The sequence below is a fragment of the Homo sapiens genome, chromosome 6 (genome assembly GCF_000001405.40).
Source record: "Homo sapiens chromosome 6, GRCh38.p14 Primary Assembly".
Taxonomy (NCBI): Eukaryota; Metazoa; Chordata; class Mammalia; order Primates; family Hominidae; genus Homo; species Homo sapiens.
In genome coordinates this window covers 109,034,847-109,060,679 of record NC_000006.12, presented here as the reverse complement: position 1 = coordinate 109,060,679, position 25,833 = coordinate 109,034,847, and the positions used below count along the sequence as shown (strand labels likewise).

Here is a 25,833-nt window from a genome sequence, read left to right as displayed (position 1 = left end):
AATCGAGCATCCTACAGATGCTGCACTAATTATAGTTATTGATGGCCTACTTTTTCTGACCTAAAAAGGTAAATGAGGGAGGGAATTGTCTTTGCCTTTGAGGAATTTTCCCTCTAAAATAGATTAGTTCACTGTCATTGCTGTTTATTTTCACCTAACACTTTTCTAGAATCTTCATAAAACTGCACAGTACTGAACTAATCAATAGAAAAGGCAGATGAATATTCTCCCAAAGGAAAAAAGGCTTGGCAGGTCAAATCAAGCATGTCAGATCTCTCTTGCCACTCCCAATTAGAAATTGTAAAGTTTTATAAACAGGTGCTTTAAGCAAAAGATGGGATCTGTGGATCAGGAATACATACACAAGACACTAATTTTAAAAGCTATTACATTTCTTAAAATACTTATCTAAAAATTCTCCTTTTAAATTTTTTAGAATCTATTCTAGAAAAAAAACTCAACAAATTATCCTTTGTTAATGTTTTATTTAGTGGTGTGGCTTTTTCCACAGATTAGATTGTTTACTCCTTAATATAAATGTGTGTGTGTGTGTGTGTACGTGTGTGTACACATGTGTTTGTCTTTTTTGTTGTTTGTTATTGTTTATTAATGTGTGATTAACAGAGGCCTAGCTTTGGTGCTTTCAGGCTGAGAACTAAAGGGATGATTTGTAGAAAACTAAAGTAGGTCAAAGAATACCATGGTGTAGCAAAGGGGAAGTCCCTGTGTTTAGTCACATTGTTTTGCCTCTGGTGGAGTTCACTTTCATTGTTATAGTCTAGGCCTGTCTTCCTGTGAGTGGAAGAAATCGTCAAATTGCAGAAAAGTCTCGGGAATATTATCATAAGTAACTTTTTAAAACAATATGTTATTGTAAGTTATTGGAAGGGCCGGTAGGGGCAGCAAAGGAAAAATAAAAAGTAGAACTGAATTTATCCCTAAATTAATTTCACAGATCAAAAGCAAAAATATGCATGAATATGACACCTTCTCTAAGTATGATGTAAGGAGTACTGTGTGGGTCTCTGTGGGATGGGAACTAGCATTTCAAATTTTGCCCGCCTTGTGCTTGCTTCAGCAGCACATATGCCAAAGTTGGAATGATACAGAGAAAATTAGCATGCCCCTGCACAAGAATGACATGCAAATTTGTAAAGCGTTCCATATTTTAAAAATAAAAATACAAACAAAATTTTGCCCTCTTATTCTGCTTTTTTATATATAGCCATTATGGAAGTGACCATGTTTCGAAATCAAGGAGCTGTTCCAGGCTTTAGCAATCCATGTCATGTTAGTTCTGAAAATATGCAACTGAATAAACATTAAAAGCACACCTACTGATCGTTGCAGTAGCAACTATCACACTTTTATGAAACACCATTTTGTGTCTGCTTGGCTATGATTAAGCAGTACTATTAGAATCCAGGAATGTACTCTGGCTAGCTTCAAAGATCTTAGACTGTTTTTTACATCTCAAAGTTAAAATGAATTTCTCTTAAAATTAAATTTTAAGAAATAGCTTCCTCAGGTTGGTTAAATGTTAAGAAGTTATCTGTAAATTATGTGTGTGTGTGTGTGTGTGTATGAAGTGATATATATGGAGTTACATAAATTTTGAAAAACTTCGTTTTAAATTTGGTGTTTCCTCAAATATAGTATACTTGATATTTTGGATTATGTTTTCTCTTACAGCAGAAGGTTTATTCTCTGACTAAATTTCCTTTCTTTAGGTACCCCCCTACCCACCCACCCTTTATAAGGGCAAGACACCTATGAGAATATTAAGCCTTTTAGCTCAGAGTTTTACTGAAGTTATTTTCTATTCTTGTATTTGCCAAGAATTGCTGACAACTTAAAAAACTATCATACGAGTGAAAACCAGTTGCCTAGATTGTTTGATGATTTTGGTCAAGTGTGGATCGGGATTTCCTGTCATTTTTCTTCCTCTTCTGGGGCTGCATTGCTTCTATCTCTCAGCAATTGTACACTTGGAAAGAAAAAACAAAAGAAGGTCACTAGATCTGAATTACTTTTACTTCTGTGCCAAATGAAACTTTCCTTCTGTTACGTGTTACAATGTTTGGCATCTTTTGGCATCTAGAGAGAGATAAGCAGTTAGGAGGACAATGTGGGATCTGTACAGTCACGCATCACCTAATGATGGACATATGTTCTGAGAAATGTCATCAGGCAATTTTGTCCTTGGGCAAACATCACAGAGTGTACTTACACAAACCTAGATGGTATAGCCTACTGCACACGTAGGCTATATGGTATAACCTAGTGTTCCTAGGCTACAAACCTGTATAGCATGTTACTATACTGAGTACACACTGGCAGTTGTAACACAATGGTAATTATTTGTATATCTAAATATATCTAAGCCTGGGCAACATGGTAAAACCCCATCTCTACAAAAATACAAAAATTAGTCCTGTGTGGTGGTGTGTGCCTGTAGGTCCAGCTACTTGGGAGGCTGAGGTGGGAGGATCACTTGAACTCAGGAGGTCAAGGCTGCGGTGAGCCGTGATCGTACCACTCCACTCCAGCCTAGGCAACAGAGCGAGGCCCTGCCTCAAAAAGTTAATTAATTAATTAATTAATATATCTAAACATAGGAAAGGTATAGTAAAAAAAAAAAAGTTACTGTACAATATTAGGGGACCCTGTTGTATATGCAGTACATCATTGACTGAAACATCATTATGTGTTACATGATTGAACCTCATCTAGAGACAGCCAGTTCCTTCTCTTGGGCTGAAACATGTTCCTGGAATTCATATGATAAAGCAGGTTATCATCAAGAGAAACTCATTTTCCTATGGATTATATGATCCAGCAGCTTAGAATACATTTCTGAATTCTTTGTGTTTTGGGGTGTAGCTGAATGAAGTTTTTAGTATGTCAAAGGGAGACATGTTTTAAGAAGTAGGCATTCTACTGAAAGTATTGTAATTGCTTGCTGAATGAAGGGGATAATCCTTGCCACTGCCTTTAAATACTAGGAGTTCCTGCAGGACAGCCTGAATATTTTTTCTGGATCATTAAATGAACAACTGGGTTCCAGAAGATAAGAGAAGTATGAACTTCTGAGCAGAGGTAGATCCTTGAATAAGAGGAACCTTTCTTTAGAAACAGTAATTGAATTTTGGGAATTGTTGAGTATGTCAGTCTGGAATGTGTTTGGCTGCAAATAACAAAAAAACCCTACTATGTAGTATAAACAGATAGGGGTCTGCCTCCACAAGAAGTCTTAATTAGGCAGTCCAGAGCCGGTGTGATGTTCAACTACATTAATAAAAGCCCTCTGCCATCCTTAGAATGTGATTTGTATCAAGGTTGTAAAAAGTCTGTTGTACCTTCACGTATCAATCACTATATTTCTGGCATCTATTGTTGTGTAACAAAATTACCCTAAAACATATCAGATTAAAACAATAAATATTAATTATCTCACATAGTTTCTGAGGGTTGAAAATTCAGGAATGGCTTAGCTGGGAGGTTCTGGCTCAGGGTCCCTTATGAGGTTGCAGTCAAGATACCAGCTGGAGCTGCAGTCCTCTGAAGGCTTGTTTGAGCTGGAGATCTCCTTTCTAAACTAACTCACATGACTGTCAGCAGGAGAATTCAGTTCCTTACCATAGGGATCTCTCTACAGGGTTCAAGGCATGGCAGTGGACTTCTCTCAGAGCAAATGATCTGGGAGAGTGGGGAGGGTCTAGAGTGTGTGTGTCAGGGGAGGGAGAGGACAGATGGAGATAAGAACAAGATGGAAGTTGCAATGTCTTTTATAACCTAATCTTGGAAGTGAGCTATCACTCCTGCCATATTCTGTGGTCACAGAACCCTGATACAGTATGGGAAGGGACTATACAGGATGTAGTCCCTTCAGGAGGGAGGCATCACTGGGAGCCATCTTGTAAGCTGCCTCCTACACATCACAAATATGTACTACACAGTGAGAAGGAAAGGAAAGAGACAGTGCTAGCAGACTTCTGTTTGTATCTCATTGGTGATAACTGTGTAACATAGCTTCTCAAGGGAGGCTGGGAAGTCAAATGTTTAACTTTCATAGCCTCTGTAGTAGAGACAGGCAGAAGGAAGTTGGAAATGGAACTTGGGTTAGCCTACTGTCCATTTTCTGCCACTACCAGGGCATTTGATGACAGTGACTACTTTTAATTTGCCTGTATTGCCTGTTCGTAGAGTTAATGATGCATCTTCTAGGAGATTAGGAGTAGCCCAGAAAATTGCTTTTTGTTGTTGTTGTTTTTCCAAGACAAAGTCTTGCTCTGTCACCCAGGCTGGAGTGCAGTGGCACGATTATGGCTCACAGCAGCCTCAACCTCCTAGGCACAGGTTATCCTCCTGTCTCAGCCTCCCAAGTAGCTGGGAAAGGTGTACGCTACCATGCCTCGCTAATTTTTAAATTATTTGTAAAGATGAGGTCTCCCTATGTTGCCAAGGCTGGTCTCAAACTCCTGGGCTTAAGCAATCTTCCTGCCTTGGCCTCCCAAAGTGTAGGGATTACAGGCATGAGTCACTGCACCCAGTGAAAATTACTCTTTTAAAAGTGTGGTGGTTTCTCTAGTTGTTTTAGAAATAAAGTTCTCACTGGCACCTAGCTAGCTAACAGAAATAGCTTAAATTGTGAATCATAAGTAGTTTGTTGTGAGGAAATTTTAGGTTACTTTCTCCTTTGTATTCTTCTACATTTGTTTGCATAAAATATTTAGGCAGTAAAAATTCTGAAATCTAAAACTATACCCAATGCCAGTTTTCAGATCCAAAAAGAAAAATTCTTCCCAACCACAAACATATTGAGTAACTACTATATATCACGGACAATGAGTACAGATCTTACACAATTTTTGGAAATTTAAAAATAATCTCTGTTAGGCACTATTTTACTTAGTGATAATTTTATTTGTAATGGTTACTAGACTTTTGTGAACCATATTGTTGATTGAAATAACCATTCTGGTTTTCTTTCTTTCTTTTTTTTTTTTTTTTTTTTTGAGGTGGAGTCTCGCTCTGTTGCCCAGGCTGGAGTGCAGTGGCATGATCTACACTCACTGCAACCTCCGCCTCCCAGGTTCAAGCAGTTCTCTGCCTCAGCCTCCCGAGTAGCTGGGATTACAGGTGCCTGCCACCACACCCGGCTAATTTTTTGGTATTTTTAGTAGAGACAGGGTTTCACCATCTTGGCCGGGCTGATCTTGAACTCCTGGCCTCGTGATCCACCCACCTCAGCCCCTCAAAGGGCTGGGATTACAGGCATGAGCCACTGCACCCAGCCACCATTCTGTTTATTATATATTCTTTCATTAATTAATACCAAACTACATTTCTGAAAAATACCACACAACTTGAAAACAAGAAAGTAGAGTCTGAAAAACTAGGGACCCAAGAAGGATTGGAGAGGAAAGTGAAGGGAGTTAGATGCAAAAAATAAATTGAACGGAGATAAGGACCAGGGTTATCCTACCCTCCCTTTCCTCTTTTCACCCAGGGACCAGGTTAAAAGAGGATTCTGTCTTCAGGAAGGAGAAGCACACAGCTATTAGCAGGTAGAGGTGAGGATTAGAACCTTGTGTGAGCAGATGTCATGCCTCAAAAATGTATCCATATGTTTTGGACAAAAGGCTGGTTCCATAAATATACTGGAACAACTGTTCACCTTCTTGGAGAAAAGTATAAAATTTGGACCTACCTCATACTAACAAATAGAGCTGCTATTTAATTTGACCTTAAGTTAGGGAAGATCTTTTAAAGCGTAAAAGCAAGGGAAGAAAGCTTTAATGGAAAAGATAGTTTTGATTGCATAAAAATTAAGTACATCAAAAAGTACCTTAAATTTAAAATATAAACCACAAGTTGGAAAAATGAGTTGTATCATATATGAAAAAGTTAATATTCTTAATGTGCAAAGAAGCTCATAAAATCATAAGAAAAAGCAAAAGACAAAAATAGAAAAATGGATGTGGTAAATAAAAATTTTGAACAAGTGTGCCAAAAAGCTCAACTTTACAATGACAGAAGAAATTTTTTGAGAGACTATTATTTTTTTTGTGCCTACTATCTTAGTAGATTGTCCTTCAGGAGATAATCCTCGTGTAGGTCAGGATGTTATAAAATGAGCTTTCTTATACACTGCTTATAGACATGTAAATTGGTGTAACATAATTTTATCTTTTTATCAGTAATTCCACTTAGGGCAAAAATAATATTTCTTCACAATAGAGCTCTAAAGGAATTCTTTACTGTATTTTTTAAGGATTATAAAAAATCGAGTATAAAAATATTTTTTCACCTTTAGACTGTATCATTCTCTTCTGTTAAACTGAGAAAATTAATGAACTTGTTTTTTCCTTCCTCTTACCTCGTATTTTTGTTAGTCAAGTTATTATTTTAATATTCTTAAGATCTATGACATTTAAGTTCTATTCCATCATCATAACTTTCAGAGTTAGTCTTAGTTTCTATATTTAAGTAAATTTGTTTTTCATCATTGGTATGAATAATCGGCAGAAAATTAAATTGACAATTACTTAGATGTATGTTCAGGGAATTTTTCCCAGATCCCTCCCCCCCCAAAAAATTAAGAAAAAACGAAAAGAAATGTCTTGCCAACAATATTAAAAATATTAAAAAATTGACAAGGGAAAAACTGGGGCAAGAAGTAATTCCAAAATAAAGATGAAAACTACTAAAATTGCACAAAGTAAAGGTAATTGCCCAGACCCAGAAGGCAAACCCAAGCCTCTGTTAAATTTGTCTACATTTGGTTTATCTTAAAGGGTATTCAAAAGCTACCACTTTTAAAATTCCTGAAGTATGCATACTTATTAATACAGATATGATAGGTCCTAGAAAATATTTTCAAAACTGAGCGAGTGTTCGTCCTTCTAGTTCTTGTTTCATGAGATCCAACCTTTATGAATTTTCTTTCCCTTAAGTGTTTGAATTTCAGATAAAAGCAGTGAAAGCGTCTAATGCCTTCTCATTGCATTTAGGAATGCCAGAGTCCTTCATGTGGCCCATGAGGGCTTTCACTGGCCCAGCCTCATCTCCCAGTCTCATCTCCATATTTCCCATTACTTTCTGTGTCCTTACTTAGTTCACTGGCTTTGTTACTGCTGTTGTTCCCACTTTAATTTATAGCAGCCTCTCCTGTCTTGGGGCTTTCTCATGTTTCTCAGTCTGCATGGAATGTTCTCTCTTCCCCTCCCCCACACCATGCTTTATTAACACCAGCTTATCCTTTATATCTTAGTATAATTGTCAGTTATGCAGGGAAGTGGGATATGTGGCATATGACTTAAGCGCTCTGTTGTCTTATTGTTTGGGTTTTCATCCCAGTTCATTATTTACTGGCTGTATAATCTTAAGTTATTTGACTTATCTCTGAGCCCCAATTTCTTTATCTGTAAGGTGAAGGAAGATAATTCTTACTCATAAGATGCTGTGATTATCAAATAAGAAAATGAGAGAAGCCATATGTTTCCAACACAAGGCTTCACTAGCATTGAATGAAGTACTTCTTAAATGTTAGACAAAATTATTCCCAACCTACCTCCTACCCCCAATTCCCTGCTGTGCACACACGCACGCACACACACACACACACACATCCTAGTCTTGAACAGCTCCTTTTATTGAATAGTGACGTATATGACCATATACCTCTTATTCCTAACATTTACAACTTTCAATTACTTTATTGATTGTTTGATTAATGTCTGTCTCCCTTGACTAGATTATAAGCTCTACGGGGTAGCAGCTGTGTAGTTTTGCTCATCCTATTCTCAGTACTTAGTCTGGATTAAGTCAACAATAAATATTTGTCGAGTGTAGGGACAAATGAATGAACTAAAGGAATATTCTGTCTCGTCTCAAAACTGCATACTTAATGGTTGAAATGTTTCCTGTAGTATAGTTTTGCCTTTAAGCCTATAAATCACAAATTCAATATCAATGACTAGAGAATAATCTACTGCCAGTAACTTATATAAAACCTGCTTGTCAATAAAAATTGTTTTCAGGCCTTTTGGAATGTTTAAATATAACATTTAAAAAGTACATAATGAATACTCTCATTTTCAATAACATTGGGAAAGGATTATATTAAAACTTTAAGTGAACATTGAAGTCTAGATAAACTATTTTAAGTAATGTTTGATCTCAGCTGTCTAAAAATATACATAAGAAAGAGAACTGAAAGTAAATATACCAGTGTGTTATAATAGCAGTGGCTTTCTTTGAGTGGTAGGATTATGATCAATTTTAATCATTTTGTGTCTATGCTTATATATTTATATCAATATAGTCTTCACTTTTACAGTAAAACATTGCTTTATAATAACAAAAATTATCTTTAAAATTTTCTCAAATATTTCTGGAATTTATAGAGGGAAACTTCATTCATTTATCTAACAATTATTTACTGAGCAACTACAAAGTGCCAGGCACTGTTTTAGGCTAAGAGGATGAGATTATAATAAAATAAGCAACAATTCCTTTCTTTGTTGAATTTTCATTTTGATGTATTTGCAGCTACCTGTCTGACTTTGGTTTGAAACTTATCTTCTACATCTGTCTTATTAAAAGTAATGGCAAAAACCTCAATTACTTTTGCACCAAGCTAATAAGCCATTGTTGTCTGCTGTGGTTTGAATGTGTCACTCCAAAATTTGGGTGCTGTCAATGTGATAGTATTAAGAGGTGGGGTCTTTAAAAGGTGATTAGGCCAGAGGGCTGCTCCTTCATCAGTGGAATTAAGGTCCTTATAAAAGAGGCTTCACACAGGGTTTGGCTAACTTGCCTTTGTTCGACTGTCTTCTGTCATGTAAGGAGATAGCAAGAAGGCCCTTATCAGACCAAATGCCAGCATCTTGACCCTGGACTTTCCAGCCTCCAGAACTGTGAGAGAAAACAAAACAAAACAAAAGATTTTTTAAATAAATTACCCAGTCTCAGGTATTCTGTTACAGTGGCACAAAATGGAGTAAGACAATGTCACATTAATGATTTATCATTTTTATCTTGTATTCAATTACAGAAAAAAAGAAAACCAGTGACCACAATTTCTAAACTCTTTGTAATTCTACAAGCTTTTAAGTGTTTTTCATACTTTAGAACCCCATCTTTGACCTCTAATGGTAAGCAAAAAGGTAATAAGAGGACCCTATTTAAACATTCCTTAAAGGGTTACATTTTCTCCTTCAAAGAGTCCATTCATATAGTATTACTCACTAATATACAATGTTGCAGTTTGTTCAACTCCTTTTATGTTAAAAATACACAACTGATGTGTTACATTTTTCACTGAAGTAGCACCATTATTGTCTGACTCAGTTTCAATGTTTGGTAAATAATTTTTAAAAATCTTTATAATATTCTGATCCTCTGAAATTTCATTGCACCCTGCTGTTTTATAAAACCAATTTTAAAGCTACTGATCCAAAAGAAGTTTTAAACCATCATGAAACTGATTTCTGAAATGAGTTTTTTTTTGTTGTTTTTTTTTGTTTTTAAGAGATTTCCTGTTTGCTTCTGAAGTTAGTTTGCAAATTAGTTGTTTAGGACTCAGGTTATATTTCTGTGTCTAAGCAGCATTAATATTTGGTGATTAGCTTCAGGAATCAGTTCAAAAAAGGTATTCAGCCCTTCTTACTTGAAGTCATGCTAATTGAACAACTTTAACCATAACAAACGTCCACTCATAATATTATTTCTATGGAGGTGGCTGAGGACCACATTCCCCCTACCTAAGCAGTAGAAGCTGTGTTTGTTCCTTCTTGCCTTCCTTTGCTAGGCTGGAACCTGGAGACCAGAAAGTAAGAATGGAAAGGAAGGGATGCTAGTGGTGGATGAGTGATTGTTGGCAGCAGTATTTTTTTAATTCCTTATGATTACTAAAAGAAGATAGCTCTCTTGGAAGGTTGGTCTTCCTGTGGTCAGACTGGAAATCAGCTTTTGCCTTTAGGCTGAGAGACCTAAGGATTATGTAAGTCTATTGATTTAGGAATGGGAGGGAACTTCTGCTGCCTGCCCATTTGTATAGATAGGTTATTTGAAAGTTAGAGACTGCTTTGATGTTTGCCTGCCTCTCTTAGGAAGCTAATTTCATCAGTCTTTCAGACCAGTCCAACTAATTTTTCCTCCTTCAATCAGTTTTATATATTTAAAGTCTATTTTTAATATTTAAAGACTTGCCATACTGTCTCCTTTGCAAGATGGAAAGTCTATGATTCACTGTACATTAAAATGACTTTTTTTTTTTTTTTTTAACAATTTAAACAATAGCATTCTGTGTGTCTTTTCTAGGCTGGAGATGTGTTCTCTGCTTCTAGCCGCTGAATGTTTTGACTGCTACTTAATGGCGCTGTTGCAGACAGATGCCACCTTCAGCTGGTAGCACAATTGGTCAGTCTTTGAACAGCTCTGAGTTGGGCCAGTTATTGCTGTTTGGACATGTTTAGATTTGAAGTTCCTCCCTTCCATTGTGAGTAGAGCAAGATTGTGTCATCCCATAAAACCTGTTGAAAAGTGAAAAAGTAGTCAAATCAGATGCCTATCCACCAGTTTGGCTTTTTCACTAAATTGGCCAGTATTTTACTTCATATACAGAGTTTTAAAAATCAGTTGTTATTCCTTTACTTACAGCCTTTCCTTTGTTGTATTTTACAACACTGTTTTATAAATCTTCATTTTAAAATTTCTTTTAAAGCTGTTGCCTATGTTTCAAACCAAAGTCAGACATGGAGATGTATTTACTTCCTCTTCTCTGGGTATTTATTTGTTTTGACATTTAATTCCCATGATGCAACTTTCTTGAGAATTTTTTAAAGAGGGTATTTTGGTAAGTTAACTTCCTTTCAGTTCTATGCTATTAAAAAATACATATAAATATATATGTAATGATTTCAACATAATATATATTATACATCAATATTAGTATATAATATATTAATATAAATATACGTCCCCTCTCCTTTTTATTTTTTATTTTTTAACTGACACATAATAATTGTACATAATTATGGGGTACATAATAGTGTTTCAATTACAATGTGCAGTGATCAGATCAGGATAATTAGCAAATCCGTCATCTAAACAGTTATTTCTTTGTGTTGAAAACATTCAATTTCCTCTCTTCTAGCTGTTTGAAAATATATAATATTGTTAACTATAGTTATCCTACATTGCTATGGAACACTAGAACTTATTCTGCTTATCTAGCTATAATTTTGTATACTTTAGCAGATCTCTTCATATTCCCCCCTTTCCCCCTACTCTTCCCAGCTTTTAGTAACCTCTCTTCTACCTTTTACTTCCATGAGATCAACTTTTTTTTTTTGGCTTTCACATATGAGTGAGAACATACGATGTTTAACTTTCTGTTCCTGGCTTATTTTACTTATCATAAATTCAGTTCCATCCATGTTGCTGTAAATGACAGGATTCCTTCTTTTTTATGGCTGAGTAGTATTCCATTGTGTGTATATAACACATTTTAAAAATCCATTCATCCTCTTTTTTTTGATACCAACTTTTCCTACTTTTATGTGCCAAGATGTTCTCAAAGCCTTGCAGAAATCATAGCTGTCATTTATTCATACACATGTTCTACAGGTGTTTGTTGAAAGCTAGCTCTGTACAAAGAAGCGTGCTAAGCAAAAAGGACAAAGACACTAAGTCCTAGAGAGACTTGCTGTTTAGTGGAGGAAACAGAGAAGGAAACCATTGTTATGTTTTAAGTACTCATCCCGTCACTTTTTATAGCTCTGAACTTCACACATTGGAGTAGGATTACAGCCTGTGATATATGGCCATATCCCAGGGTATGCAGGAACACATAGAATAAATTGTGATGTATCTTCCTGGAATTTAGAATCAGGGGAATGGGAGGCAGGGATGAGGAAGAGATAGGTAATTTAACTGGTAAGTAATGAACAGCATTATTTTAGGTTAAAAATAAGCATAGCTGTATTAGGGAATAAGATTTTAAAATTTGACATAAAAAAAATTCTCCTACTTGTGGCCATCTACCCACAGGCTTGTCACCATATTATCCCCTGTGGAAGGAGTTCACTCCTCTCAGAGGTTAGAGGTCCTCTGGGAAAGATTTTGTAAAGGCCCTTCTATCTGTTCTAATAAACCTGGTTGTGTTAAACAGAGAGGCTAGAGAAGGTGGCTGCCTTTTCAGAGCACAGCCTTGGTATTTCCTATGCAGTCACTACCTTTTAACAGTAATCCTTTAAAAATACTTTCACTACTTTTGTTAACTAAACCCACGGTGCAATACTGTGGTGCAGATCTCAAGACAAGTAAACAAGGGAGGTGGAGGAATGAATGTCTCAGGAAGGTGGCTCCTCAAACTATTCACCTGTGGTTAAACTGCCTGCACCACATACAAGCAGGGTCAGTTGGAGATATCTGAATGTTTATTGAGGCCTTTGTGATCTTGGAAGACAAAAGATTAAGGGAGGGCATTTGTGAAGGTCATTCTTCTTGTCACTGTTTCAGTGAATGTTGACAGCAAAAATATTGCATTAGATTTTTTTTTTTTTAATTTATTTTTTTATTGATAATTCTTGGGTGTTTCTCACAGAGGGGGATTTGGCAGGGTCATGGGACAATAGTGGAGGGAAGGTCAGCAGATAAACAAGTGAACAAAGGTCTCTGGTTTTCCTAGGCAGAGGACCCTGTGGCCTTCCGCAGTGTTTGTGTCCCTGGGTACTTGAGATTAGGGAGTGGTGATGACTCTTAACCAGCATGCTGCCTTCAAGCATCTGTTTAACAAAGCACATCTTGCACCACCCTTAATCCATTTAACCCTGAGTGGACACAGCACATGTTTCAGAGAGCACAGGGTTGGGGGTAAGGTCACAGATCAACAGGATCCCAAGGCAGAAGAATTTTTCTTAGTGCAGAACAAAATGAAAAGTCTCCCATGTCTACTTCTTTCTACACAGACACGGCAACCATCCGATTTCTCAATCTTTTCCCCACCTTTCCCCCCTTTCTATTCCACAAAGCCGCCATTGTCATCCTGGCCCGTTCTCAATGAGCTGTTGGGCACACCTCCCAGACGGGGTGGTGGCCGGGCAGAGGGGCTCCTCACTTCCCAGTAGGGGCGGCCGGGCAGAGGCGCCCCTCACCTCCCGGACGGGGCGGCTGGCCGGGCAGGGGGCTGACCCCCCCACCTCCCTCCCGGATGGGGCGGCTGGCCGGGCAGAGGGGCTCCTCACTTCCCAGTAGGGGCGGCCGGGCAGAGGCGCCCCTCACCTCCCGGACGGGGCGGCTGGCCGGGCAGGGGGCTGACCCCCCCACCTCCCTCCCGGACGGGGCGGCTGGCCGGGCAGAGGGGCTCCTCACTTCCCAGTAGGGGCGGCCGGGCAGAGGCGCCCCTCACCTCCCAGACGGGGCGGCTGGCCGGGCGGAGGGCTGACCCCCCCACCTCCCTCCCGGACGGGGCGGCTGGCCGGGCGGGGGGCTGACCCCCCCACCTCCCTCCCGGACCGGGCGGCTGGCCGGGCAGAGGGGCTCCTCACTTCCCAGTAGGGGCGGCCGGGCAGAGGCGCCCCTCACCTCCCAGATGGGGCGGCTGGCCGGGTGGAGGGCTGACCCCCCACCTCCCTCCCGGATGGGGCGGCTGGCCGGGCAGGGGGCTGACCCCCCCCACCTCCCTCCCGGACGGGGTGGCTGCCGGGTGGAGACGCTCCTCACTTCCCAGATGGGGTGGCTGCCGGGCGGAGAGGCTCCTCACTTCTCAGACGGGGCAGCTGCCGGACGGAGGGGCTCCTCACTTCTCATACGGGGTGGTTGCCAGGCAGAGGGTCTCCTCACTTCTCAGACAGGGCGGCCGGGCAGAGACGCTCCTCACCTCCCAGACGGGGTCTCGGCCGGGCAGAGGCACTCCTCACAACCCAGATGGGGCGGCGGGGCAGAGGCGCTCCCCACATCTCAGACGATGGGCGGCCGGGCAGAGACGCTCCTCACTTCCTAGATGTGATGGCGGCTGGGAAGAGGCGCTCCTCACTTCCTAGATGGGATGGCGGCCGGGCGCAGACGCTCCTCACTTTCCAGACTGGGCAGCCAGGCAGAGGGGCTCCTCACATCCCAGACGATGGGTGGCCAGGCAGAGACACTCCTCACTTCCCAGACGGGGTGGCGGCCGGGCAGAGGCTGCAATCTCGGCACTTTGGGAGGCCAAGGCAGGCGGCTGGGAGGTGTAGGTTGTAGTGAGCCGAGATCATGCCACTGCACTCCAGCCTGGGCACCATTGAGCACTGAGTGAACGAGACTCCGTCTGCAATCCCGGCACCTCGGGAGGCCAAGGCTGGCGGATCACTCGCGGTTAGGGGCTGGAGACCGGCCCGGCCAACACAGCGAAACCCCGTCTCCACCAAAACCAGTCAGGCGTGGCGGCGCGTGCCTGCAATCGCAGGCACTCGGCAGGCTGAGGCAGGAGAATCAGGCAGGGAGGTTGCAGTGAGCCGAGATGGCAGCAGTACAGTCCAGCTTCGGCTCCGCATGAGAGGGAGACCGTGGGGAGAGGGAGAGGGAGAGGGCTAGAGCTACATTATCTTATTGCATTAGATTTTTTTAAGCTTGTAAATATAATATTTTTTACTTATGTTCCAAAGTATATGAATTATTGAAAGTTGAGGCATTGGTTTTTCATTTAGAGCAAAAGACAGAATACGCTTTTTTCAGCCCATATGGGTTCAAAATCAAATTCTTATTTTCAATCAGAGTTCTTCCATATCGTGCCTCACATTTATTTATTTCAGAAACATGTATTATCTACTCTGTGTAACATTCCATGCCAGACACTGGAGAAACAGATAAGGCAAAGGTCTCATTCTCAAGGAGCTCACAGACAGGTGGGCAAGATAAACAGGCAGTTATGGTATATACTAGTAAGTGCCATGCAAGAGAATTCTGCAAAGGCTTTGGATGGTTGGGGATGAGGGGATACAGAAAGGGAGTAGCCAGGGTAAGCGCTGTAGAAGAGTAATGCCTCAGCTGGCTCTTGAAGCCTGACTAAGGAGAGGCCAGTTGAAGAAGTGAGAGATAAGGTGCTCTGGTCAGAGAGATTAGCATGTGCAAAAGTACAGAACCATGAGATTTACTGTGTTTGAAGAACTGTAAGTAAGTTGAACTCAGTATCATTGGAGACATAGGCAGAGATGCAATCTGAAATGGAATTATATGCCATGTGAAGAATCTGGATTTTATTTTGAAAGTTAGGGGGAACCTATAAAGGATTATATCATCATCAGATCTGCATTTTGGAAAGACTTCTCCAGTGTAGAGAATAGGCTAGAAGGTGGCAAAGGCATTGAGACAGAAAGGAGGCTATCGTTCTAATCTGGGAGAGACATGGTGAGGGACTGTTTTGATGGGGTTGGGAGTGAGGTTGAGGATAGGGGATAGATTTTACAGTTTCTAGGATGTAGAATATTCAGAACTTGACAAGAGGTTAGTAAGGGTGTCAGAGGAGCCTAGCTAGGCACAGACTTGCAGGTGTCTGCACTGGACAACTGGAGGTATAATGAAGGCCTTCGTGGAGATAGGGAATATAAGAGGTGGTAGCGTAGTGCAATGGGTTTGGGGAAGGTGATGAGTTCAGCTTTTTTTTTTTTGAAATGGAGTCTCGCTCTTGTTGCCCAGGATGGAGTGCAGTGGCGCAATCTCAGCTCACCGCAACCTCTACCTCCTGGGTTCAACCGATTCTCTTGCCTCAGCTGCCCAAGTAGCTGAGATTACAGGCATGCGCCACCACGCTCAGCTAATTTTGTATTTTTAGTAGAGATGGGGTTTCTTCATGTTGGTCAGGCTGGTCTCAAACTCCTGACCTCAGGTGATCTGCCCTCCTCGACCTCCCAAAGTGCTGGGATTACAGGCGTGAGCCACTGCGCCCGGCTGAGTTCAGCTTTTTATTTTTTATTTTTTGATTCGAGATGTCTGTGTGACATCAAGATTAAATATATTAGGTAGATAGAGAAATAGGCCTCAGATTCAGGAGAAAGGACTGAGATGTAATTACAGGTTTGGTCAGTGATGAAAGCGTGAGATCATTCAGGGTGATCTAGATGTAGATATTCTCTTATGTTTTCTTCTAGATGTTTTTTAGTCTTATATATTAAATTTAGGTCTGTGATCCATTTTGAGTTACTTTTTGTTAAGGGTATGAGGTTTATGTCTAGAATCATTTTGTTTTCTTTCTTTTCTTTGCGTATGGATGTCCTATTATTTCATCATTACTTGGTGGAAAGACTATCCTTTCTTCCTTTCTCCATTGAATTGCCTGTACTCCTTTTTTTTTTTTTTTTTTTTTTTTTTTTTTTTTTTTTTGAGGCAAGTTCTCACTGTGTCATCTAGGCTGGAGTGTGGTGGTGTGATCACGGCTCACTGCCCTGGTATCCTTGGCTCAGACAGCCCTCCTGTCTTAGCCTCCCAAGTAGCTGGGATCACCGGCAGGTGCCACTATGCCTGGATAATTTTTTTTTTATTTGTAGTAGTGGAGTCTCCCTGTGTTGCTTCGGCTGGTCTTGAACTCCTGGGCTCAAGCAATCCTCTTGCCTTGGCCTCCCAAAGTGCTGGGATTACAGGTGTGAGCCACCATACCTGGCCACTTCTTTGTTAACAATAAGTTGACCATATTTTTATCAGTCTATTTCTGGGCTCTCTATTCTGTTCCATTGATATGTGTATCTGTCCTTTCACCAATATCATGCTGTATTAATTATGATAGCTTTATAATAAGTCATGAAAACAGTTAGTATGACTGTTCTAGGTCTTTTGCCTTTCCATATAAAATTTTGAATCAGTTTGTTGACATTTACAAAATAGCTTGCCAAGATTATATTTGGAATGTTGAACTTACAGATGGGAAAAATGGACACCTTACTAGTATTGAGTCTTCCAATCTATGAGCATTGAATATTTCTCCACTTATTTGGATTTTTGATTTCTTTGATCAGAGTTTTGTAGTTTTTGGTGTATAGAGTCTATACATATTTTGTTGGATTTATGCCTATTTTCTTTTTTATTGTAATTCTTTTAATTTCAAATTCCAGTTGTTCACTGATGGTCTATAGAAAAGCAATTCACTCTTGTATATTAACTTTGTATCCTGCAACCTGCTCAACTCCCTTATTAGTTCTAGGAATTCGTTGTTTTTTATAAATTCCTTGGGATTTTCTATGTACATAATTGTGTCATCTATAAGTAGGGACAGTTGTTATTTATTCCGTTTGTTGTTTTTGTTGTTGTTGTTGTTTTTTATCTGTATGGCTTTTATTTACTTTTCTTGCCTTATTGCCCTGACTAGAACTTCCAGGACTATGTTGTGTAAGAGTGGTGAGAGTAAATATTCTTTCCTTCTTCCCAATCTTAAGAGGAAAGCATTCCATCTTTCACCGTTAAGTATAAAAACAGCTGTAGGTTTTTGTAGAAGTTTTTAAGCTGAGGTAACTCCCACTCTGTTCTTATTTTTCTGAAAGTTTTTAAAAATCATAAATGAGTGTTAAATTTACTCAAATGTTTTTCTGCATCAATTAATATGAACATATGGTTTTTCTTCCTTAGCCTGTTAAAATGGTAGATTGCATTGATTTTCAGATGTTGAACCAGCCATGCATTCCTGGAATAAATCCCCCTAAATCTTGATATATAATGCTTTTTATACATTGTGGAATTCTGTTTGCTAATATTTTGTTTAGGATTTTTGCCTCCATTTTCATGAGGCTGTATTTTTCTTTTTTTGTATTGTCTTTGTCTGGTTTTGGTATTAGGTTAATACTAGCTTCATAAAAATAATTGAAAATTTTTCCCTCCTTGTTTTCTGGAAAATATTATGTAAAATTGGAGTTAATTCTTTAAATGTTTGGTGGAGTTATCCAGTGAAATAAACTGGATTTGGAAATTTATTTTGGGGGAGTTTTTAAAAATCACAAATTCAATTTTCTTAATAGCAATAGGGCTATTCAGGTGATCTATTTCATAGTAGGTGAGTTATGGAGTTATGGTGGGAATTGACCCATTTTGTCTAACTTGTCAAATGTATGAGTATAGAATGTTCACAGTATTCCATTATTATCTTTTGGTCTTTGCAGGTTTGTTTTTTTTTTTTCGCAATAATCCTCTGTTTCATTCCTAATAGATATTGGTAATTTATGTCTTCTCTTAATTCCCGTGTCAGTCTTGCTAGAGGTTTTTCAATTTTTTTTTCTTTTCAAAGAACCAGCAGTTTGTTTCACTGATTTTCTTTTACTCTTTTGTTTTTCTGTTTTCAAATTCATTGATGTTTGTTCTTTATTATTTTCTTCTGTCTGCTTGATTCTCAGTTTATACTGCTCTTCTTTCCCTAGGCTCTTGACATAGAATTTTAGATCATTTATTTGAATTTTTTATTTTTTAATGTATATATGTAGTGTTATAAATTTCCCTCTCAGCACTGCTTCAGCTGTGTCCCACAAATTTTGATATGTTGTATTTTCATTTTCATCCTATTCAATATATTTTTTAAATCTCCCCGATACCTCCTCTTTCACTCATGAATTATTTCTGAGTGTGGTGTTTAGTTTGCAAATGTGTCCAGGCTTCCATTTTCCTATTATCTTTCTATTATTTACTTCTAGTGTGATTTCGTTATGATCAGAGAACACATACTTTGCATGATTTTCATTCTTTTAAATATATTCAAATTTATTTTATGGCCATGATGTATTCTGTTTTGGTATATATTCCCTGAGCATGCTAAAAGGCTATGTATTTTCTTATTAGGTAGAGTATTTTATAAATGTTGATTACATCCTGTTGGTTTATAATATTGTTGAGTTCCTCTACATTTTTGCTGATTTTCTGTCTAGTTGTTCTAGCAATTGTTGAGAGAGGAATGTTGAAGTCTCCTGCTATAATTATGGATTTGTTTATTTCTCCTTTCCGTACTACCAGGTTTTCCTTCATATATTTTACAGCTCTGTTTGGTGGATGTACATTTGGGTATTGCTATATATTCTTGGTGGGTTTAACTTTTTATCATGATATATAATGTCCCTCCTTGTCTCTGGTAATTTTCTTTGCTCTGAAGTCTACTTTATTTGGTATTAATATAAAAATTCCTGCTTTTTCAAAAAATGTAGTAAAACAACAATTATGGTAAATAACTTCTACCGCTTTTTCATTGTCCTCAAAATCCCTCCTTTGGCTTAATAGTTACTTGTTAGTGGCGTAAGTACTTGTACAAGTATGTTTGGTAGATTTACTGAGTTGTTGGAGATGAGAAATAGCAAAAGGTCATCTGCTATTTTTATGTTGCAATTTTATTTTATTTTTTTAAATTATTATTTATTTAGTTTTTGAGACAGAGTCTCACTCTGCCACCCAGACTGGCACAATCACAACTCACTGCAGCCTTAACCTTCTGTGTTCAAACAATCCTCCTGCCTAAGCCCCCCAAGTAGCTGGGACTATAGGTGCATGCCACAATGCCTGGCTAGTTTTGGTTTGTTTTTTTTTTTTTTAATAGAAACAGGGTCCCACTATGTTGCCCAGGCTGATCTCAAACTCCTGGGCTCATGCTAATCTCCTTCCTCAGCTTCCCAAAGTGCTGGGATTATGGGCATGAGCCACTGTGCCTGGCCTGCAATTTGAAATGATGCACACTCTGTAAATTGAGGGTATGTTATTTTAAAAATTTATGCTAGTTTGGGCCAGGTGCGGTGGCTCACGCCTGTAATCCCAGCACTTTGGGAGGCTGAGGCGGGCAGATCACGAGGTCAGGAGATTGAGACCATCCTGGCTAACACGGTGAAACCCCGTCTCTACTAAAAATACAAAAAATTAGCTGGGCGTGGTCGCGTGCACCTGTAGTTCCAGCTACTCAGGAGGCTGAGGCGGGAGAATCGCTTGAACCCAGGAGGCAGAGCTTGCAGTGAGATGAGATTGCGCCACTGCACTCCAGCCTGGGCGACAGAGCGAGACTGTCTCAAAAAAAAAAAAAAAGATTATGCTAGTTTGTCACATATATGTTTAACAGTTCATTTGTTTTCAAGAAGTTAAATTCAGGGAAGCGACACCAAGAATTCCTGTTTTAATTTAATCATTGTAGTGGGACACCTGATGTAATTTGCTGGCGTTACCCTAAGAGTCCTTGGACAAGTATGTACACAAGGAATGAGAATGGCACAACTAAAATGATAAATTCTTAGTAACTTTCCCACATTTAACAACTAAATTGACAGAGAAATCAGAAGTCCAAAACAATAAATGAAACCTTTTAATCCTTCTTCAACCCCAGTAATTTATTATTACTCCCCCTAAAAAATCCTCAGTCGTAATACTTTTCTGCATAATTTGTTCAAAAAGGTGTATTTAAATATAATAAAAAGGAATGTCATATAAAGGAGAGGAGACTTGCCAAACTAGATTATTTCTCTTGTGAAAGAAGGGAGAGTTGGGGGTTGTGGTGGGGGTAGTTGTTGCTTAACTTTTATTAGTTCTGTAGTTGAAGACTAGCAATTCAAATAATAATCTCTTATCTCATGACTGAAGTTTTTACGCTAAAGATAATACTGTACTTGGTATCAGTAGGCCATCTCTTTCCAGGTAATTGTTTTCCCAGTCGTGGTTCCTAAGTGAGCTCAGCCATACACATTCTCTCACAGTCCTTCATTTGACTGTTGGTACATACACATTTGTGAAATCCCAGCCACAGCTGTGATGCAGTCTGTGGCCATGAAATAATCCCCCTTGACTGTGCTTTCTCCTCTCTCCCATCCTGCTTCCTTTTCAGAGTTGAAGCCACAATAATTCACTTCACTAACTTATTTTCTATATGAACAAGACTCTAGTTAAGACAATAGAAAGATCAACAAGGTTCTTAAAAAACTGAATTGGTAGCTAAAATAACTTTTACTAGAAACTTTGTAGTTTATGAAAATACTGGTTCTCGTTTCTAGTAACTCATTTCGCCATTTGGGTTAGCAAGTTTAGAATCTACAAATGTAAATCATCTATATATTTTGGTTTTTAATCCCAGTGATGGGACTATGACCCCTCCACTTGAGATGTTTTAGTAGTGCTTATCAAGATAAAGATAGCCAGTGCTTGCTGGCAGTACTCAGTAAGAAAAGTCACCAGACAGCTCTGTGATTTGCAGATTTGATGTTCTTGCCTCCAAGTTGTCTTAAATTGGACCTCATCTTGAACTGAAAATCGTGAAATACAATGATGATACTTTGACATTAATAGTTACTGTTTGTAAAAGTGAAGGGAAATTACAGAAAATTCTCAGTTAATCATGTTTGAGAATGTAAGATGGTATGATTAATAAGCTATTATGACTTAAATGATTTATGCAGTATATACAATTTATATTCCATACAAATTTGTGAAGTAGGCAAAATTTATCTTTGGTCATGGTCTTCCCTACCCTCTATAGTATCCCTTCCTTGCCCTCAGGCACAGAGCCTCTTCTTTCTTCTTCTTCTTTCTTCTCCTCCTCCTCCTTCCTTCTCCTCTTCTTTCTTTCTCCTTCTCCTCCTTCCTTCTCCTTCTCCTCCCTCCTTCTCCTTTTCCTCCCTCCTTTCTTCCTCCTTCTTGTTCTCCTTCTCCCTCCTTCTTCTTTCTTTCTCTTTTTCTTTCTTTCTCTTTCTTCTTTTCTCCTCCTCCTCCTTCTTCTTTTTCTTTTCCTTCTTCTCCCTTCTCCCTTCTTTTCTTCTTCTCTTTTCTTCTCCTCCTCCTCCTCCTTCCTTTTTTCTCCTTCCTTCTTCTTTTCCTCTTCATTTCTTCTTCCTCCTCCTCTTGCTCTTCTTTTTCCTTTCTTTCTGCCCCAATTGCCGTCAGAATCTGCTCTTAGGGAAGTAGCTGATCCCTACAATGGAGTTACCTCATTCATACACTTAACTTATGCAAATTTAACTATTCTTGCTTATTAAAAATTTCTTAAGGTAGGGCAGAAAATATTTTAAATATAAATTGCATAGGCAATTCTGTCCCACATCCCACTCAGAGCATATGCCCCTAAGTGGGTGTGAAATGAGAAACAGAAATGTGTTGTATTCCCTTTGGTCTTGAATTCCTGCTTGCTTCTCTTAGAGTCAACATCTCATTGTGCTGTAGGTAATTCAGGTGCTAAAGACTTGTGTTGTTTTTTGTTTTTTGAGACAAGTCTTGGCTTTGTCTTACCCAGGCTGGAGTGCAGTGGCACGATCTCAGCTCAGCTCACTGCAGCCTCTGACAACCAGGTTCAAGCAATTCTCCTGCCTGAGCCTCCCAAGTAGCTGGGACTATAGGCATGTACCACCACACCTAGCTAATTTTGTATTTTTAGTAGAGACGAGGTTTCACTATGTTGGCCAGGCTGGTCTTGAAATCCTGACCTCAAGTGATCTGCCCACCTTGGTCTCTCAAAGTGCTGGGATTATAGGCGTGAGCCACTGTGCCCAGCTGGCTTGTGCTTTTTTATACAAAGCCCCTAAATACAAGCCAGTGACTCCAACTAGTGCTAGAAAATAAAGTCATCTGTTCTAATGCTGCAGGACAAAATGTCTACTTTGGCCTTAGTTAAGAAGTGGGCTGTCAGTCTCTAGCATGGAACCTTCCAGAAGAGATTTTCAAGAATACTCATATAGACATGATTTTGACCTTAAATGCCTACCTAAGGTTTGAATCCATTATATTGCTTAATGATTTTTCTATTTTTCAGGGTACTTGCATTTTAACAAAAGATAATGGAATTAGTCAGCTTATAGAATTATAGGCATCGTTGAACATCAACTAAATATGTAAATGGAAGATGACTAGGTATCATTTTACTATTTTTATCTCTGAGGAAGAATCTGGGTGACAAGTTTCTATGCCTTTTTTTTTTATAATAGCGCTTCTGAAATTATACCAAGCAAGCAGCCATATACTCTAGTAAATCATAAGGCCAGCCTTGATTTTATTGATGATTGTCCAAGTTTCTAAAAACTATAATATGATAAATATTTCAACATTAAAACCATATATTTTGCCTCTGGTTCTCAATTTCTTCATCTATAGAATTAAAGTATTAATACTTAGATGCTCCAAATCTATTCTAGCTTCACCCAACTTATAATTGTTTTAGCTCTGAAATTCTGTAATTATTACATCACATTGGACTAGATGCTGAATATATTAATAATTGCATTGTGTAATGGAGGGAATTTTAACATCTTGGTGTATTTCAGAATCATCCCCGTGAATTAAGGTTGCTTTAATTATTGCTCTGCAAAGATACTAATTAGTGGAGTGTTATGGTTTCTACGGCCTAATAATGTTTCCTAGGTGAAATAAAAACATACTTCTTTTCTGTGCCCTAAATTCCAATTTAAAAGGATAAGAGAAAAAACAAAATTTTTATAACCTTAATGGACATTTTAGCTAAGATTTTGATTTGAAAAGTACATTTTAATAGAAAATAGTAGTGCAATATTGTTGCATCACAGAGTCTTAAATAGCGTGGTTCATAAGTGAGGTAACTTGTTTTTCTGGACTTATGGCCCATTGGGGAGGGAAAGATTGTCTTTACTACTTAGAAAGTTTTCATGCCTTTTTATGCTGTATCAGGAATATAACAGCTATATTTTGGCAGCACATTATGGGCGGGGGCCCTGTAGAAAAAGACAAGGGACCTTGATCGGTAAGTTTCCTAACTGAGGTGCTGAACCAAAGCCAAAGAAAGTTTTTAAACATCTGTAAACCTTTTTGTTAGTACTGATGGGGCAGTATGCCTATTTGTCTCTCTCAGATTTACGACTGTTTTATTATTTTACTGTAATTATTTTAAGAGCATTTTTATTAGGCTAGAAAGAGAGCTGTAAGTGAACATATGATACTCTACTAATGGGGAACAGGTGAGAATAATAGCGCCACTGGAAACAAGAAAGCTAAAATTGTGGTAGCACTTCCTCCAGGTATTTAGCTTAGGCTTAAGCAGAGTTGTCTGAAAGTTAACAGGAAAAGAAACTACTTGTGAAGTGTTAAAAACCACAACCTAAAAAAAATTTTTTTTATCATATCATATTATAGTGTATTAAGAACTACTTGTCACAGTTAAGCTGGTTTAGTAGTATTTGATAAATACACTTTCCCTCAAACCTCAGATAAAAACAAACAAAAAACACTAGATCCCAGCATCAGAAACTGGTTTGTTTCTTTTTCATTCTCCTGGAGCCAAGTGTGTAACAATATTAGTGCCATGCCATCTTTTATTAGGCAAAGAATGATGGTTAAGCTTTCCATTCCTCACAAAAGGACTACAGTCTAAAGTTAAAATTCATATTAATTATTTGAAACTCTGAACTTACTTTTTCACTCAGACAAATCGTAAAGCCAACCCACAAAAGCTGATTTTAACTGCATAGGTTTGCTGAACTATAAAGCTGGAAGCAGTAATGACATTTAGATTCTATTTTAGCAATGTTTCTATGAAAAAAACTAAATTTTAACTGAGAATTCCAACAACACTCCCTCCCTCCCCATTCTGATGACTCCTCTCTTTCCTAAGTGTACCTTGGTAGGAAAAGGTCCTAATAAGAGGCTAGAAGAGGGTGGAAATTCTGAATGGGGCCTAGAATTGGAAAAGAATGGTGGGGAGTCTTGAGGGTTTCTGAAAGTCTTTGATTTTAATAATACAAAGGGCAGATACAATAAGGAGGGCAATTACTATGCTCTGGGAGTTACAGAAGTTTAGTAATGAGCTTGTCCCTATTAATCATTAATATGTGATAGTGGTGCAGTGGTCACGTCTGTAATCCCAGCACTTCAGGAGGCTGAGGCAGGAGGATCACTTGAGGCCAGGAGTTTGAGACCAGCCTAAGTAACATAGCAAGACTCCATCTCTACAAAAATAAAAATAGAAATAAATTAGCTGGGTGTGGTGGCATGCACCTGTAGTCCCAGCTACTGGGGAGGCTAAGGTGGGAGGATCACTTAAGCCCAGGAATTTGAGGCAGCAGTGCATTATGACTGAGCCTGGGCAACAGAGTGAGACCCCTTCTCAAAAAAAGTGACAGAGGTTCTAAGGCTACATGAAGCCCAGTAAGAGTCAGTGACTGTGTTCTTTTCCTTTTCCTTTTTTTTTTTCCCTCTGCCGGGTAGTCACATCTTTGCCTTTGTCCCCAAGAGTCCTGAACACCTTATTTCCTATATTTCCAGTACTAAGGTTCTTCCTACCTACTCCATATGTCAGCTTTCTCCCGACCTTTTATACTCAGTCTTTTACTTCAATCCTATAAGAAAATTTGGGACCACAGAGGTGTAGTGTACAAATTAACAGAGGAAAATTTAATGTACATTTCTTAAAATACCTGACTTAGCTCTCTGAAGTTAGGGGTCTGTTTTATTCAGCATCTAACACACACTAGATGCTCAGCAGGCATTTGTTGAGTAATGAACAAATGAATGCTGTTTTGGGGTCAGTTCTTTTTTGGAGTTGAACTTCTAGGATGAAAAGCAAAATGGACCCTAGAGTGGTTGGGGGTAAAAGACAGGTTAGGAATATGATGTGAACTATAGCAGTGGTGGGGCAGCTGAATGAATCCTCTTGCCCCTTTTCTCTCCCTTAACATTATCTCTTCTTTCTCACCATAAGTTGAGGAAAAAACCTATTAAGAAAATAAGTGAAATTGAAATTCAGATTTCACTTTCTCTGTATTATTTAGGATGAGATTAGGCTTCCAGTGACAGAAACCCTGATATAAAAGTTCTTAAACAGGAAAGTTTATTTTTCTTCCTTGTAAATAAAGGCAATGCAGGACTGGTTTAGCAGCTCCATATAATCATCAG

At 38.8% G+C, this 25,833-nt stretch overlaps 2 protein-coding genes and 1 pseudogene across 2 annotated transcripts in view, besides 2 other annotated features; 2 read left to right on the top strand and 1 right to left on the bottom strand.

Annotated features, from left to right (window-relative positions):
* Positions 1–25,833, top strand: part of SESN1 (sestrin 1) — a 110,538-nt gene that overhangs the window by 34,167 nt on the left and 50,538 nt on the right. The window lies entirely within an intron of this gene.
* On the top strand, positions 1,066–1,171 carry RNU6-653P (RNA, U6 small nuclear 653, pseudogene; annotated as a pseudogene).
* The window catches only part of ARMC2 (armadillo repeat containing 2), a 204,619-nt gene continuing 186,425 nt past the window's right edge, over positions 7,640–25,833 (bottom strand). The window contains exon 18 of the mRNA XM_047419396.1: positions 7,640–8,922. Within this exon, the coding sequence (XP_047275352.1) occupies positions 8,816–8,922 (107 nt within the window). The 3' untranslated portion in view covers positions 7,640–8,815. The remainder of the gene's footprint in view (positions 8,923–25,833) is intronic.
* Positions 14,265–14,832: an enhancer, noted in NCBI's record as "H3K27ac hESC enhancer chr6:109367051-109367618 (GRCh37/hg19 assembly coordinates)". NCBI's record gives its function as "activates a minimal SCP1, AML or CMV promoter by ChIP-STARR-seq in naive H9 embryonic stem cells {active_cell/tissue: H9 hESC(naive)}" and the evidence as "EXISTENCE:reporter gene assay evidence [ECO:0000049][PMID:30033119]".
* Positions 14,920–15,214: a silencer, noted in NCBI's record as "tiled region #5156; HepG2 Repressive non-DNase unmatched - State 23:Low". NCBI's record gives its function as "represses a minimal TATA promoter and a strong SV40 promoter by Sharpr-MPRA in HepG2 cells {active_cell/tissue: HepG2}" and the evidence as "EXISTENCE:reporter gene assay evidence [ECO:0000049][PMID:27701403]".